At 33.7% G+C, this 18,365-nt stretch overlaps 1 protein-coding gene across 1 annotated transcript in view; it reads left to right on the top strand.

The window, feature by feature from the left end:
* The window catches only part of HCN1 (hyperpolarization activated cyclic nucleotide gated potassium channel 1), a 441,433-nt gene that overhangs the window by 50,379 nt on the left and 372,689 nt on the right, over window positions 1-18,365 (top strand). Inside the window, exon 2 of the mRNA NM_021072.4 lies at window positions 394-817. Within this exon, the coding sequence (NP_066550.2) occupies window positions 394-817 (424 nt within the window). The remainder of the gene's footprint in view (window positions 1-393; window positions 818-18,365) is intronic.

The raw sequence follows: 18,365 nt of genomic DNA, 5'->3' as shown, positions 1-18,365 counted from the left end.
CAAAGAGCCTTCCCAAAGGCTTTCTTACAGATCTTCTAATCTTATACTTCTTTCTAGTTTCTGTCTATATTTTGTATTAAGTATAAGGTAGGTTGCTTTTTTTGCCTCTTTACTAAATAAATGGGGGTATGAATGTTTTTGATTTTATTTGTATAATGCTTCATATCACATAATTTTTAGAATTCCATAATCATAATGCCTTGGTTTAAGAATATATTAATTTTACTTAGATTTAAACATATAGCCATTTAAGGAATTACATTTTTAAAAAATAAAATCATTTCTTTGTTCTTTTACTTATTGATCTCACTATATATCAGTAATAATTTTTCATGGGGGGGATAGGCTGGTTATTTTCTATATCTTAAAATCTGATTTTTTTATTTGTTGTAGGTTTTACTGGGATTTAATAATGCTTATAATGATGGTTGGAAATCTAGTCATCATACCAGTTGGAATCACATTCTTTACAGAGCAAACAACAACACCATGGATTATTTTCAATGTGGCATCAGATACAGTTTTCCTATTGGACCTGATCATGAATTTTAGGACTGGGACTGTCAATGAAGACAGTTCTGAAATCATCCTGGACCCCAAAGTGATCAAGATGAATTATTTAAAAAGCTGGTTTGTGGTTGACTTCATCTCATCCATCCCAGTGGATTATATCTTTCTTATTGTAGAAAAAGGAATGGATTCTGAAGTTTACAAGACAGCCAGGGCACTTCGCATTGTGAGGTTTACAAAAATTCTCAGTCTCTTGCGTTTATTACGACTTTCAAGGTTAATTAGATACATACATCAATGGGAAGAGGTAAGATGCATCTTTTTCTTTTTTAAATCTATATCATGAAATTGTTAATTATGGCTGTTTTACAATGAACAACTGTGCAATGTGTAATGAGTTTTATGAAATTCAAGTAGAAAAATGTATTCGACGACTCTTTTCCATGCATAAGTGATATATTTGTATCCCTAAAATATATGATCAAATAATGGATTTGAATGAACTGAAAAAAATAGTGATCGTTTTATGCCAATTTATTTTATTTTTAAATAAATGCACTTTAATCAGCAATTATTATCTTGATCAATACAACCCCTTTCCCACCTTGGTTTTTTTTAATCTAATATAAATACATCAAGTACCATTATTTTGATAAAGATGTGTAGGGTCTGATTGCTAATCTGGCACATCATTAGCTCTGTGAGATAGTGTGGTTTTTGTATCCTCTAATATTGAAGTTTCATTGAATTCATGATTGGGTAAAACAGATTGTTTCTTTATTTCCAAATTGTATATATAAAGGCTTTGATTTTAGCATATTAATTTTGCTTATTGTTATGCCTTGCCTATAGTAACTTATTTTAGTTTCTCCCTATTAGTTCATTTCATAATACTAAAAAGGAACATATTCATGAGGGACATTAGTACATAGAAAACACAAAGAGTATAGTGAATAAATGGAGTGAATCTGACCAATCAGGCCCATATTTTGCTGAATAGAGCATCTGTTGTTAGGCAGTGGGTGGGACCTGAGAGGGCTCAGCCAACTGGAGTTTCCAAAGATCTGAGTTAAACCATCATCAAGCAAAGGAGTTCATATCCCTATCTTCAAAGTCTGAATATTAACCATTTTGACTTCCTTTTCTTCCTAAGTCTTTTTGTATTAATTATAACCTGAATTTTATAGTCTGCATAAGCGTAAGAGTCCAAAAGACTTGTAGAATGCCTAAATCGACACTAATGAAAGTCATATAAAGTCATATACTGGCTATAGAATATTGCTTTCCTCCCTACAGAAATACTTTTTAGCATTTTCAAGATAAATTATGTTTTTAAATATGTCATAAAATGGAAGTTCTGTTTGATTTCTGTGAGGCGGTAGCAGTGTTTTTGTATGTGCTTGTCAGTGACATTTTGGTTCACAGGATTTCAGGAAATGACATGCAATAATAAAACACTGCATAATACACTGATAAAAAGGCATAAAAATGGATCATTCTTAAAATATAGATATGGGATATATTTAAAATCAAATGAAGCACATTTGAGAAATCAGATTCATCTTGTAATTTTTCTCTATATAGCACATTCCATCTAAAATGGAATAAATGTTCAGTTCTCAAAGCCTTTTTATGCTAATTTGAGATTAATACCAAACCAAGATGATTCTTGCTAATAATTGCTAATATTTATTGAAGGCTTATTACACGTCAGCTAGTATGTTTGATTCTTTACATATATTAGCTCACTGAATCTTCCTAACAACACAAAGATGTAAATATAATTATTGTCATTATTTTACAGATGAGAACAATTAAATACAATAAGGTAACTCGTCCAGATTCATAGAACTAGTAAGAAGTGGAGCTGGGATTCCAAACTTGGCAATCAGACTCAGGAGCCAGTGCTCTTAACTGCAAAACTATATAGGTTCTTACTATGATATATAATGTTTTAGTTATAAATATCTTAATATTCTACCATTTTATAGATTGTCTAACGAATTATAGGGAACTTTTCTTAAGTAAGACTGTGGGCCATGCAATACAACAGAGTTGAATAGTACCTCTTAAAACAAGGCCATGGAAAAATATTTTAACAAATATCCTGTGAGAGGAAAGTCACTGATATAAACATCCAGTCAATTAAAAATACAGTAGCAATGTGACTATTTTTAATATCTTGTGGTTTTAGCCCAGTTACCCTAGAGAATGGCAGCAGGATGAACAGATGGCATCCTATCAGATAAAATGGCAGGCCATGTGGTCATATAAGAGTATACTCCTTACCACCAATGTCCTTTGGCTTCTGGCAGTAATTACAGGCACCTAGATCTGTGTAACATGATGTGTTTTAAAGATGCCATGATAAAATTTAGGAACATCAGCTCACTGCTATCATTATTGTAAAATGCAATTTAATATGCACTTACAGACATTTGGTAACCAAGCACATTCAGGCTAGAGTTGTGGGTTGGCAACATGTTTCTTATAAATAAATGACCTTGGTAATAAATGAACCATAAGCCCATTTAGGTGAAGAATGTTTTCTTGATTATATGATACCCCCATATAATATCATATATCATGGGTATTTAATGCCCATTAGTAATGCTGTTCAACAGGGAAGAAACAGAGTCATAATCCAGAATTTAATACAAATTAATCTTTCCATCACCTACATGTTTCTAACCATAATCTCCAAGAAACTTGAATGGTTCCAAAACTGGAAATCTCTCTACCTGATTTTTCTAAATGTCACCAGGATGTGTTTACAAGTAAAAATACAACAAATAAATCAGAAAAAGTAGCTCTGTGAGCTTTTGCAATAAAAATTCAGAGGAAGATGTGAGTTCACCCACATGTCTTTGGTTCTGGGTGTTTTAGTATCAAGCTGGCTAATGCTAAATTCAGCAAATTTGGGGAAGTAATGTGTGAAGTCTGGAAGCTGCCACTGTTCTAAATGAATCATTCCTGAGGAAAGCTGCTGCCTTCTATAGGAAGCTGCTTCCATCTTCAACAATACATTTTTTTTTTTCTGGACTGAATTAGTTCAACTGAAAAACAACAAGAAGCCCTGATGCCAGATAAATTAGAAAAATATTATGAATGAGATACAGAAGCTTTAAATTTTTGTGCTTATGTTATTATCATTACTAAAGCTGAATTAGTGGTTAATACAGGAGGAAAAAACTGATTTGAGCAACTAATTTATGAAACACATGGTGTTAAGAAGTGAGGAGGGAAGTTGTTTTCATGAACCAATTATAAGATCAATAGATTTGGGATGTAAAAATAGCTTTCTGTGACATTACACTGAAACTTTATATATATTGCCAGGTGAGGTAAAAACCAGAGACAATTTAGATAAATCAAGCCAGAAATTTCTTTTCTTGTAATAGCTAGAAAGCTGAGGTGAATCTTTCCAATTTTTATGTTTGGTTTTAAAAAACTATTATTTGAATTCAGCATTGTCGTTGTTGTTATTGTGTTTAAAGACAGTGATCCAAGCCAGACTGCTATTTCATAACCTATCACAAGGGTAACAAATTCCTTGTGATCTTCCTAAAAGAGACATACGGTGAGGAAATCCCTGGAAATTAAATGGAATATGTGACAATCACAAGCCACTGAAGAGATAAAGAGTAGATTAAGGGCTTAGTGAATAGGAGATTATTCAGTTTGTAAAGGTGAAGAGTTCCTTTACAGCTGCTGATCTCAGTCATTTTATCAACAGGAGATGACCTTCGAAATTTTTTAGAGGTTTAGGAAATATTAATTGCAAATACAAATGCTACTCTGTAATGATTATCTCTTTGTAGGACTTAATGTCATAGATAAAGCATAAATTCTTCTTAATTTTAAAAAGTGGGAAATGCATCATTATATAATAACTATGGCTTTGGAATATATAACTATAATATTTTACTTTTTATTCATCATTTCCTATCTCCCCAACCTCCTTTGTATAGAACTGGGACATATTACAATTAATTAAATACATTTTGGGACAGGAAAGAGGGCCTGTGGTTTTGATCTTTTGTATCTATAGCAATTTCAGATGAATAATGTGTCTTGAACATTTCAATGCTTGTCTTGAAACCAATATTAGATTTTTATACTGGCTTAGAGATAGTTTAATATACAAATTATGTATAACAACAGAGCAGTAATAAGGAAATTTATTCCATAGGGAGCTAATGCAGATTACAGTTTCTATCTTTGGTTAATTTTAGCATTCAAATTGGTGTAGAGTAGAAACTAACTGTTACTATAAATTGCCTATCTATAATTATACAATACATATTCTAATTACTTTTATATTTTTAAAAACACATAGGATTCTAAGACTTGCCATAAGCAAACAGCAGAGTTTTCCCAAACCTGCCCTGTATTAGAACTTAGAGAGGCTCCCTATTGCTTATCACATCAAATCTGTGTTTCCTTGCTGTGCCTTCAAGTCTCTCCAGCACATTGTTCCCTGGTCTCACCATTGTCACTTCATATTTGCACCCAACTCTTTTCTGTTTGTGTTTCAGTTTTACAGTGCTGCTTGCAGGAAATGATTCTTTCTGCTTCTATAATTTTATTCCTGCTACATCTCCGATTTGGAAAGGCTTTTTTTTTTTTTTTTCTATCACTCCTTTAAAAATCATAGTTAAGGCTGGGTGCAGTGGATCACCTGAAGTCAGGAGTTCGAGACCAGCCTGGCCAACATGGTGAAACCCTGTCTCTACTAAAAATACAAAAAGTAGCTGGGCATGGTGGCGGGTGCCTGTAATCTCAGCTTCTCAGGAGGCTGAGGCAGGAGAACAGCTTGAACCTGGGAGGTGGAGGTTGCAGTGAGCTGAGATCATGCCATTGCACTCCAGCCTGGGCGACAAGAGTGAAACTCCGTCAAAAAAAAAAAAAAAAGAATCAGACTTCAACTCATTTCCAGAAGGTATTCTACATTGACACACTCTATCGTGACAGTCAATACCTTTCCAGTGAAAATTTCTACTGGCTCTACATGCATTTGTTCATGATAATTTGGTTACTAATGCTTTATTACACACATTTTGCTTTCCTTTTGCCAGACATAGATATCATAGGGAAGAATCAGTGTCAAATTTTGCCCTTGAATCTTTTTGTATATTAGTGCAGGGTTATAAACACAATAAATAATCAGAGCATGTTTATCCGCTAAATACTGGCAATCTCCCATGTTCTAAATCCGTTAAATAATAATAAGAGAGTATCCGTTCTTCACTCCCAAGCATTTACTGAGTAATCTGTATGTGGAGATGCTGCAAATAAGGATAGAAGACTGATGCCAGTTTTGTAAGAAAAGCAGATGTGAGCAAATAATCACAGATGATGTGGGAAGTAGTGGCACAAATAAGGGAGTGAGCAACACAATTGCTTTGCACAAGAGGAGGCCTTGAAACATACTGAACTGAATTTTGAATCTGGAGAATGGATTACCAGGCTGAACAAGTGGACCAGGGAGAAGAGTGTGTTCCAGAAGACACGAGATACAAGCAGCCTAGTGCAGTAGATGCAGATTCCCAGATTGAGTTTGGAGATGTAGACCAGAATTTGTGCTAATGATGGACTTAATCAAAAGGTGCCATTGATACATTTTAGGCAGGGGATTTACATTTTAGAGTGCTACAGAATGAAGGGGGTTGGAGGCCACCGTGGATAGAGCTAACACCACCAGTTAGAAGAGAGGTTTATCACTTCCTCGCATTTTTTTGTATGCAGTCGGTGTCAAACACAGTACTTTTTTAGATAGCTAAAAAAAGGTTTATCTTTGCCAAGTACTCTTGCTGTCAAAAAATGTTTGTATCGGTTAATGAAATATGATAAGGCCTTCTATGAAGTCTATTTGCAGTGTTTTACAATTTTAAATATCAATTATATTGGAGGTTTCAATTTTTATGATGGTATGGAATGGATTCTATACCAGAAATTAGTGTATATTTCAACTGCGACATTATTTTCTATGTAATCTAGGGAAAATCACATAAAGTGACTTATTTATGCCCATGAACAATCAAACAGTTGTGAAGTTCAAATGAAATGAAGCATATGGAAGTTATCTGAAATATTTAAACTGATATTTCTGTAATATTTATAAATATATGATGACATCTTTCTGAAATTAGCACATCTACTGACACCAACATTATTGCATGTGTGTGAATTGCCTGATATTTTCTGCAAGCAAATATTGATTCTGCTAAAGACCACTAGGTGTCCTCTATTGGTTATGTTACTTTAAGGTTCTATCTTTTAAAATGCCGGACTGTTTTCTTTGAAGTTATTCATTTACACTCTCCTAGAATCATCTATTTGCTTGGCTAGTTCATTTCTTGAAAAAAAGAAAAAGATGACTATGGATATTCGTATATGTAAAATGATTTCTAACTATACTTTCTTCTCCAATTAAACAGAGTTTTAAGTTCCGTCTCTAAACAATTATTAGTATTGTGAGATAATTGTTTTCAATATTATATTATTTACTTTTTAATGTGATAGCTTAACAGATATGCTGAAGTTTTAATGTACAATGTAATGAGTTCTATTTGGAAATGAGATGTTAAGTCAAGGCAACTGCTATGTCGCCCAGGCTGGAGGGTAGTTGGTTCCATCTCGGCTCACTGCAACCTCTGCCTCCTGAGTTCAAGTGATTCTCCTGTCTCAGCCTCCTGAGTAGCTGGGATTACAGGTGCCCCCAACACGCCTGGCTAATTTTTCTATTTGTAGTAGAGACAGGGTTTCACCATGTTGGCCAGGCTGGTCTTGAACTCCTGACCTCAGGTGATCTGCCCACCTTGGCCTCCCAAAGTGGTGGGATTACAGGCATGAGCCTCTGCGCCCAGCCCCAAGACAACTAAAAAGTTTTAACAGGGTGTGCGTGGTGTATATATACATATGTTAGAGGTAAGGCTTAATTTTATGAATGCTCTTTGGTCAGCGCCCCGTGGCAGATCTGTATCATCTCAGTGCTTTTGACATGGAAATCTCAGTTAAATGTCAGAATATAAGATCTGATTTGAAATGTTCATGCTTCCCATTTTAAGATTAAAACATTCAGCCTTCTTAATTAGCCCAATCCTTGTCCCAATCTGTTTTCTTGTTTTGCAGGTTTTTCTATAATTCCATGGCTATATGTTGATAATAATCAGATTGATATCCAAGTTTCTAAATTATATACCCAGTTGCCTCAATGTCCACATGACTCAGTGACATCTACAAAGGTATCTCATGAGTTCCTCAAGCTCAGTAGGTTCATTTTTTCTTTAAATCTCCTTTTCCCTTATTTCCTGTTGCTCAAGTCAGAAATCTAAAAAGTGTTCTTCTCCTTCTCTTTTAATTTCTAAGAAATAACCAAGTCCTACTGATTCTACTACTTCCCAATTGTGGTTGGAATCCTGTAACTTCTTCACTTGATCCCCTTATCACCATCCTAGTCCAAGCCAATTTGTGTCTCATTTGGATTTCTATTCTCCATTCATAACTATTTTAAAATTCACCCTTGCTTGCCTTCTCAGGAACTCAAAAGTGGTAGTTTTGAAGAGTAACTATTACCATATTACCCACCTGCTGAAAATATTTCTGTAACATTTCATTACTGTCAATATACAATGCAATATTCAAGGCCCTTTGAAATTTGTTTCTGGCCAAACTCCCTCAACCTGAGAAACTCTTTGCTCATATTCTTTAACTATGTTGAACCTCTTTAGTTTGCCAAATACCACATTTCAAATCCTATGTTTCATGTTCATGAAAATATGTGTTCATGTTTTCTAGAACTTTTTTCCTTTCAACAGTTTCAGATTATCCATCTCATTTTATTTACGCATTGCTTCTTTCAGGTAGAATTAACTAATCTCTCAGACACAATTAGTTCCATCTATAATGGATCTAGTATAGCTCCTTGTGCTTCTGCTTTGTAACATTCATCAATTTGTAATCTCTCTAAATCTGTGCCTTTACAATTACATATTAGATTCCAAAAGGGCAGATATCATAGCTTTCCTGCATCTTCAGTTCCTAGCATAGTGTCGGGGAAATAACTGGGCTCTAAAGTACTTGCTAGATGATTTCAGTTATTCCCTCAATGGAATTTCAATTCAGCAGGAAAAGAAAACATGTAAATAGACAAACCGATAAATAAAACAACAATGTCTTGAATCCAGTATTACAAGCATTTATAGTGTAAACAACAAAGCCAAGAGAAAGGTATTGTATATGAGTGTGTGGTAGGGAGTAGAAGAGAGGTTCTAGGGAAAGCACACTAAATATGGCCACTTTCATACCTAAGTGTGAAACTATATGACCTTCCAAGTGGCAAAGTCTGGGAAATCTTCCAAGGGAATTTAGAAATCATGGAAAAATTAATCAACTTCCTCATTGACAGTATGGGGATATTGATGATTTTCTGTCCAATCTCATAGAATCTAAGGTTCAAATGAGATGTTATTGTTGAACATACACTTTGAAACTAAAAAGTTTATTGAAATTTAAGTTATATTATGAATGTTTCTATGAATTTAAAATATAAAAATCTCAAAATGAGTTTGTTATCCCTTTATTGTGCTTATTGCCCTGTCAGATATTGAAAGAATTATAAATACTATTATGCATTACTCTTTTTTTAGAGATAGGGTCTTGCTCTTTTGCTCAGGCTAAAGTGCAGTGGTGGGATTATATAGCTCACTGCAACCTTGAACTCCTAAGCTCAAGGGATCTTCCCACACAATTGGGATTACAGGTGCATGCCACCACTCCTGGCTAATTTAAAAAATTTTTCTTTTGTACAGACAGGGTCTTGCTATATTGTCCTGGCTGGTCTGGAACTCCTGGCCTCAAGCTATCCTCCCACCTCAGCCTCCCAAAACACTTCAATTACAAGCACGAGCCAGTGTGCCTGACCCTTATTATGCATTACTTATCCCCAAAATATACCAACTGAAGAACTGAAGCAGCAGATGAATCAGGCTAATTTAGGACAAAGCACATTTAGCCTTACATTTGTCCAGTTTCCGAATAGATGTCTTAGTTTTTCCTTTCTCTGTGCATGCAGATACCATATATATTATGGCTACTGCTATTTTAGACTCATTTGTGTGCTATTAGAGTGAAAGTTGCTAATACTATTGGTTTATGAAAGTTGGAGACAAAATTTGTGATGTGCTTCTGGTTTAAACTTGAAGTCTGGTTTAATTGCCAGAGTGTTTTATAATAAGCATGGGTTACTTTAATTATCCTAGTAATTATCTCAGTTGAACGAGTCACTTTAGTTGGTCTTGTATATAGTGCCCCTATCTACAAATAAGAAAGGTGTGATGATACATGATGGACATTGGAAAGGGGTACAGTGACATCCAAGAATATTTTATTGTTACAAATAACTAGGTGAACTCAAACTAATCTCTGATGAAAATGTTAAATATACTTATCTAATGAAAAAGGGAAAATACATGCTTTTTTACTATCATTTTCTAATAAACCAGTCTTTCACTTTAGTCTGATTCAATGTCAAAGGTGTTTTTACTAATTTAAAATTTGGAAAACAAGATTATGCCTGCTTTATTTCAAAAGAGTGATTGATTTAAATATAAACATACTTTTTGAAGTATATCACCAATTGTCACAGAAAGTCAATTTATGAGGCACTGTAACTGTATTATGAAAGCTCAAGAGTAAATAAAATTAGAGCCCTTCAGTTGCAACAGGTAATGGCTGAGAAAGACCTGCTTTGACTTCTTTTTCTGTCTTGCTGATGTGTGCAATTTAGATTTTGTATCAGATGAGTCGTGTCTTAGTGTGAAAAGGAAATACATTTGGTTGGTTATATAATTCTGGTGGCTATTTTGAGTTAAGTCTGCCATTTAGACCATTTTTTAAGACAGCTAAATTCTTTTTCTTATTACATTTTAAAGTGAAAGTAGACGTTGAGTAAGGAAGGATTCTGGAGACTGGTCCCAGGGCTCCAGATAATTTGAAGCAGCTGCAAAATAAAGGAATGGTAGCTATTTTGATACAATCCTATCTAAGTCAGGAGTAGTGGGATCAGAAAGGGTTTCCCATTGAGATTGTTTATAGGTGGGAATTTTTACAATAATTATTTCAATTTTGCTCTTTTTGTTGTTTTTGTGGAGATGTGAGTTGAGAATGGGGGAATTCAGAATTCTGAAATGAGAATCAGGAGTATCTTGTGCAAGTCATTTTCAGACATTTTTCTCATTTTTAAAAAATGTGAATGATAAATGGAAAATTCATATGAAAGTGCTTTGTGAACTCTAAAATTGAAAGTCTAAAGAGCATATTTATATAAGATATAATTAGCTTGTCAAGTTAATTCACTGATTCTTTCACAGAATCTATGAAAGAATGAAATTTTTTTCTTCCTCAATATTCTGGATCGTAGCTGAGATTAAAATAGTAGAATCTGGATTGTGGTAAAATGTGCTTTTAAATTTAGAATCCAGGAACTATAACTACCTAACAGTACCTAGCAGTAATGCTTGGGAGATCAACTAGCTTTGTGAGTGTGACAGTTTCTTAGTGTGGGAAGTGGTTCTTCATTGTGTGAAAATATTCATTTTGGATGATACTAAGGAGAAGGATAAATGTTCAGAACAACTCCTTTCAGTTAACTGGCAATGAATCACAAGCATTCGAATTCATAGCTTTTAACAATCTGGTACAATTAAAACATATTTTCTCATTTTTATCTAGACTGAAATTGAGAGAAATGTAGCTCTAGATAATCTTTAATCTAGTAAAGATCACTCCTCTTTCTTCTCCTGACACATATTTGTTGTAGAAGCGAGACAACTTTGTAATAACAGTGATTACCAAGGAGTGCCAGTAATTACCAATGTGTTGGGAAAGAGTTATTGAAGAACTTCTAGATTTGTAATATTTTAGGCTCACATAAACACTGACTTTAGAATAATATTAGATGATGTATAGATTGCAAGGTAGTAGATGCATTCACTCTCTTGACTGCTAGGTTATGAGTAATGGATTCTTGAAGTTCTAAGTGACCAGTTTTCTGCTCTCAAACATTTCTTGGGAATTGTGATATTAATAACTAAAATTTCACTATTGGGAATGATTAATTTATGTTTCAAGATCTTTATCATCTTCAAGAGTATCATAGAAGATATGAAATATACTTTAAGCTATTACTAGGTAACATGTTAGCAGGCTGTTGGTTGACAGGTAGCTGAGAGTAATTCTTTATACAGAAAGGATAGGTGTATGAATGTGAGTGTCACAATCTGAGGGAGAGAATGTTCATTTGTATGAGCAGAAGGTTCATCTAGAATGTGATAAGTTTAGATTGACTGGCAGAGGAGAAAGGAGGGCACCAGTAAGCAATAAAAATTTTTAAAAATTCACAGTTTTGCTGAAGTCTTCCTGCCGCCCTATTACCCAGATTTGCCTAATGTCAAAGATGATTGTTTTATTGTTTCTAAGTGTTATTGGGAACTTAACCAACTAAATCCTTCACCCTTCTCATTTAGTTGAATCATTATTTCATATATTTCAGACATTTTCAATGGCTTGAAAGTAGGTAAGCTTATGACTTAAGGTGAAAAAAATTTTTAGTGAGCACATGTCGTGGTAAAATGCTGCAATTTTTGAAGAACTCTGTTTAGTACTACATTTCTTAGATATGTGATTTTATACAACCAGTTAAACATTGCATATGTAATTATATACTAGCTATACGAAATAAAAATGAGAGACTTTCATGTGAAAATTTCATATCTTTATAATATCAAATATAGAACTTAATCATATATTAATTGGCCATATGTATATCATATGCTGAGCTGTGCTATCTGATATAAAGATGAATAGTAACCCCTGCTAAAAGAAAATTTGTATTTTTGTGGAGGAATTAGAAAAGGAAATAAATGATCATAACAAATATGTATGAATTCTCATGTATTGTGAATTATTGAATAGAATATTTCGAGAATGGCTCTAAAGCCACATTTTGGCTCCACTGGAAAGACCTCCACTATCTATTTAGAAAGGCTTCTAAGAGAGCAGGAGTGGGGAATAGTGATGTTTTGGCCAGATGATTACAATCCTTTGATTAGTCAATTGAAATAAAAAGGGGCTGTTACATACCATGCTTTACTAAAAGGTGAGATTTCCTGAGTTAAAAAAAATATTTAAAATAATATTAATATGCTTTTGAGATTGCAAAATAACTTCCTTATGCTAGAATATAATATGAGACATTCATTTGCATTCAAATCATACACATTTTTGAAAGATCCTTAAATGGTTTTTTTGTTGTTTTTAGGGAGAAATAACAATATATTTTAATTTTATAGGCAGTCTTAAAAACTCTGCATTTAGTCAGAGAACTTAACAAAAAGTGAACCTAGTTCCTCTCTCTCTCTTTTTCTTGTAGTATGGATGCCCTTGTAGGAGACTCTTAACCAGGAAATTTTCACAATTACTAAATAAACAATTAGAAATATCTAACAGATTATCAAGAAACTGCTGCATTCAGGCACTTGCATGACCAACAGCAAATCAGTTATCCTGTAGTTCTGAAAACACTTACCTTATTCAAAATGCTTCACTTGTCTTCACATTTTCCATGAGTATATTATTCATTTACTTGTACCCCCCAGCTTCTATTTCAGCATGGAGTCACTTCCAACACCTGTGTCTGTTGTGGCTATTGTCAGAGAATCCATGTATTGATAGATTCTGTTTGAAAAACCAATGCATTCTTTCCACCAAAAGCTGTTGTAAAATATCTCTTCAGTTGTAGGACTGTTTATTGATGGTGTTTTTATTGTCATTGCTGTTGTTACTCTTGTTTGGGGGAGAAATAGCAGGCAGTGAAATTAACCAGAATTTCGGGTTAGATAATAATACCTATTTTCTAATAAGTGAGAGGTCAAAGGATCCCAGCTGTAATTCGTACTCTTAGGAAATCAATTCCTGTCTCTGTGTTCCAAGAAAAACAATTCTTGCTAATACTATGAATTTTTAAAACCACTTTTACCTTTATGGAAGCAGAATTTTTTCCTCATCCTCCTCTTTTGTCACATTTCTCACCAGAAGATTTGCTAACAGTTTGTCAGCAAAATATCTATTAGTCATTTTTCTTATAACTGGGAGAAAATAAATATAATTGCCTTATCAGGAAACAGACACACACACACACACACACACACAATGGAACATTAGCATTGGATCAAGGAAGTCCTATTTCAGAGACTCAGGCTGCTATAAATTCCATTGTACCTTGAACTGAAGAATGGAGTATTGAGGTTGAGGAAACCAGTATGATCGACCCCTTAGTTGAAGAACCATTAATTTTATGTTTTTATTAATTGCTATATCATTCATTTTCTGCCTCTCAAAACTGCAAAAACCCACAACATTTGTATAAAAAATAAAAGCAATTAAGGAGATGACTAAATTCAAGATAGAACATTTCCAAATTGGCAAAGTATCTTACTCAACTTGCAAGACCAAACGTATCAGATTAATTATTTTCCTTTCTACCCAGTATAAATCTCTGGATGATAATTTATTTTGTTCAGTTATTATTTGACATGAAAAGCAAATGCTTCAGCTTAAGAACTACAACTTAAATTTGTTAAAATTTTACAATAGTTATTCTAGAAACATATTCTCCTAAATTATATGATTTTTTAAAGTTCATTTTTTTCCAAAGAAACAATCAAAATAGTTTCCTCATAGCTCTGTCATGCAAAGAATGTTATTGTTACAGACTTGAGCCTACAAAATAATACAAAGATTTCATAGAATTTGGGAGAGAGTTTCCTTGGAGTGTTTTCCCAGAGTTTTTAGAAATCTTGATCCACATGCTCCAGTATGTAGTCTGTGAGTTGTCAATAGTTTCCTGAAGACAATTTTTTTTTCAATATTGGGAATGTTATCATGCAGGCAAAAATATCTTAGTAGCTTCTCACAGCAAATGATAATATGTCACTCCCACTACATAACCATCATAGGTGGGCTAGCGGTCCTGCTTCTTGTCATCTCATACCTGGATGTAGACTGACTAAGCAGCTCCATCATGACCACTGCCAGTCATTTTGACAGGGAGATAGATAGCTCTGTAGGGTTTTAAACAATCAGACTCAGAAGTGATATATTTCACTTCTTATAACTTTTTGGCCAAAATGTCACATGGCCTCAACCAACTGCAAGAAAGTCAAGAAGAACAGTCCTACCAAGTAACTGGGAGTCAGAGAACTGAAGCAATTTGCTTAATAGCATTACTTCAGTAGTTGGACTTGCTGAGAGATGGAGACAGGGTATGTCTTGAACGGATCACCAAGTAGGCCTGTGACTAACTTATATTACCTTTGTAACTGTTCAAAATAAAATCACCAACCAGGTTGATCTCTTTGTTTTTCTCTCATGGATGTTTTTGGTCCCAGACAACCATCTAGCTAGCTAATGAGGTCATAGTGGAGGAAATGTGATCTACGTTTTTATAATATAGCTCCTGTATGACCCATTAATTGATTATTCATTTTTTTAATAAATATATATTGGACTCATATGCTATGCATATACATTACAACAATACACAAAAATTAATTTCTTAAATAGCCTAAAGTCTAGTCATATGAGTAAAAGACAAATAAATAAAAAATTTAAAAAAAACAGTTCTCTTTGAGGATGTATCACAGCTTTAGAGGCTAAGGAAGGCTCCAGGGAGAAAGTGATACCTGAAATAAGACTTATAAGAAGACTAGGACTTATCAAGAAAGCCAAAGAAATACATTCTAGCCAAGGTAAATTCCTTAAGTAAAAAGACATGTAAGGGATTTTTCAAGAAACTTAAGTCCTCATAGCTTAGGTATACAGAGATGAGGTTTGAAAGATAAGTTGGTGTTTTGAAAGTCAAATTAAAGAGTATAGACTTTGTCCCTGAGGACAATAAGAAATCTTTGAAAGGTTTTAGGCAACACCATGATATTTTTAGCAAACACATTGTTTACTGTGGAGCCACATGCTATTCTAAGCTCTTAAAAATATTAATTTGATTAGGCCCCATAGTGACTCTATGAAGTAGGTAGTATCATTGTCACCATAAAAAAGTGAAGAAATTGAGGCACAGAGAGATTAACAATTTCCCCATATTGCACAGCTAGTAAATTATAGTGCCAGGATATAAATCCATACTCTGTTGTTCAAAATCTTGAATAGACCTTGCTCCCTCTCTGCTTAAATATGACTGAAACTGGTATATACTAGTTTTGGAAAAGAGGCAGGTAAGATTTGAGGCAGGGTCCCTATTGATTGGCGTGTGCTATAATTTGAACAAGAGTGGAAGCATTAGGGGGCCGATGATGGTGCTACCATATGATCTCCCTCCCAAGCTCACAAGGTGCTTAGAAAGCTGATAGACACTCTTTTAGGTATTAGCAGGAACTGGCACTTACCCTGGGGGACTCCCTCAGAGCAGCCTCTGGGGTATATCAACTATAAATTAATCTTTATTTTACTTACTTTTTGTAAGTGAACTCAACCTTAATAGGAATTTACATTACTCCATTAATGGAAGTACCAATTTTCAGGTTTCAAAACATTAGATTTAGTGTGAGTTTAATAATTTATTAATTGTGGATGAATATTAGCATAATTTAATTTCCTAACTTTCACACTTAAGATAATTACAATTCTTAAGATTTAGTTTTTTGTCTAAACCAATAGGGAGCATGTCTTATAAATGTATGATATAATAAGAGTAATTTTTTTATAAGGAAAACTTACTGACTTGAAATTTTGAGAACACTTGAAATACAAGCAATAAAACCCAGATCTTAAGTGTTACTCACAATATGTACATTTTGCTTATAATGTGTTACTTTTGTTTGGACTTTGTTTTTTAAAGAATTCAGACTTAGAAAGTACTTACAAATTAACTACTTTAGGATTCTTTGGCTACCAGTAAATTATATTACTATCATATATTTAATTATCTTTGAGTTTTACACCTTACTCTGATTTATGGAGAATCACTTCATTGCCAAGAATATGGTCTGTCTCAGTGAATGTTCTATATTCACTCAAGAAAATATGTTTTTCTACTATTATTTATTAGAATGTTCTGTAATAGTCAATTAGGTCAAATTTACTCAATTAACAATGTTGTTCAAATCTTCCATATCCTTACTGATTTTATGACTGCTTGGTCTCACAGTTCTTGAGAAAAGGATATTAATATACTAAACAATGATTTTGCCTTTCTCCATTTCCCCTTTCAGTTCTATCAGTTTTTATTGTAGATACTTTGAAGCTATGCTGTTAATTTCATACATAGTTAGGATTGTTATGTCCTCTTGGTGAATTGCTGCCTTTATCCCTATAAAATGACTCTCTTTACCTCTGATGTCTACTTTGTTGGATATTAATATTGCCACTGTACTTTAATAATTGTATAATATATGTTTTTTAATAATTTCTTTTATTTTCTTTTTTTTTTTTATTTTTTATTTTGAGTTGAAGTTTCACTCTTGTTGCCCAGGCTGGAGTACAATGACATGATCTCACCTAGCTCACTGTGACCTCCTCCTCCTGAGTTGAAGTGATTCCCCTGCCTCAGCCTCATAGCTGGGATTACAGGCACCCACCAGCATGCCCGACTAATTTTTTGTAGTTTTAGAAGAGACAGGGTTTCACCATGTTGGCCAGGCTGGTCTCGAACTCCTGACAGGTGACCCACCGCCTTGGCTTCCTAAGGTGCTAGAATCACACGCGTGAGCCACTGCACCCAGCCTTATATTTTATTTTCAATGTGTGTGTTTCAAGTGAGCTTTTTGTAGATAATATATAGTTGAGTCTTTTTATTTATCAAACCTGAAAATCTATTCCTTTTAATTGTAATACTAAAATCATTTATATTTTAATGTTTTTGTTCTCTACTAATAAGCATTTTATCCTGAATTGTATACTTATTAATATGCTTCTATTCACCAAAGTTTTTACAAAGATTCAGAAAAGTTTTTTCCAACTTTTTAGCAGTTTTTGTTCTATCTTTTCCTTTGTGATTTTTTTAAGTAGGTGATTTTTTGAGAGCTTTATGAAAGAGTTTACAACCTAGATAATAAAACAATAATAGTAATGAGTATTCTCAGTAAGCAGGGCCAGGGCCTGCATTATTCAGGTTTAGGCTTTTGATGGTGTGGGAACATGTGAGCCATGTGAAATAGTGATGTTAGGGAGACACTAATGTGTTCACTTTTTTACTCCAGTCACTCTCTACCTTGAGAGGACCAATTTTTATCACACCAAGAGAAGTAAAGAACAATGTATGAAAATACAAGTTGCTTGGCAATTTATTGTTTGCTTATGCCACCAATGTTCCAGTGCTCTCTGTAGACAGAAGTGTTCAAAAAGCTGCTAGTTTTTGAGTTCTCTACTCTGGTGTGGAAATCCATTATTATTTATTTGCGTCTATGCTTTTGTAGAATTCACGAATAAAATTTGATATATTTAAATAAAGTTATCTAAAATTTCACAAAGAAACTAAGAGTATTGTTGACACTTTGGTTGTAAATGGCTTATGGAGGTGATCATTTTTCCAATAAATGCCACATTTATGATTATGTTATGACATTTTTCTTGTACACAAGCTCATGGATAATGCCCTGCCACTTAAGTAAAGTAAATATATGTTTATTTCCATTCATGTCTATTTTCCCTGAAGTTAAACATAGTATTCACAGATAAAACTATATATGATAGACTCTTATCTTGACTCTACCCTGAAATGGGGATTTTAGATTTTATTTTATAAAGAAGGAAATTATTTTCTTCTAACAGCATATATGTGG

This window comes from Homo sapiens, chromosome 5 (genome assembly GCF_000001405.40).
Source record: "Homo sapiens chromosome 5, GRCh38.p14 Primary Assembly".
Lineage (NCBI taxonomy): Eukaryota > Metazoa > Chordata > Mammalia > Primates > Hominidae > Homo > Homo sapiens.
Note: the sequence above shows the minus strand (reverse complement) of the source record. Positions and strands in the feature narration are given on the sequence as shown.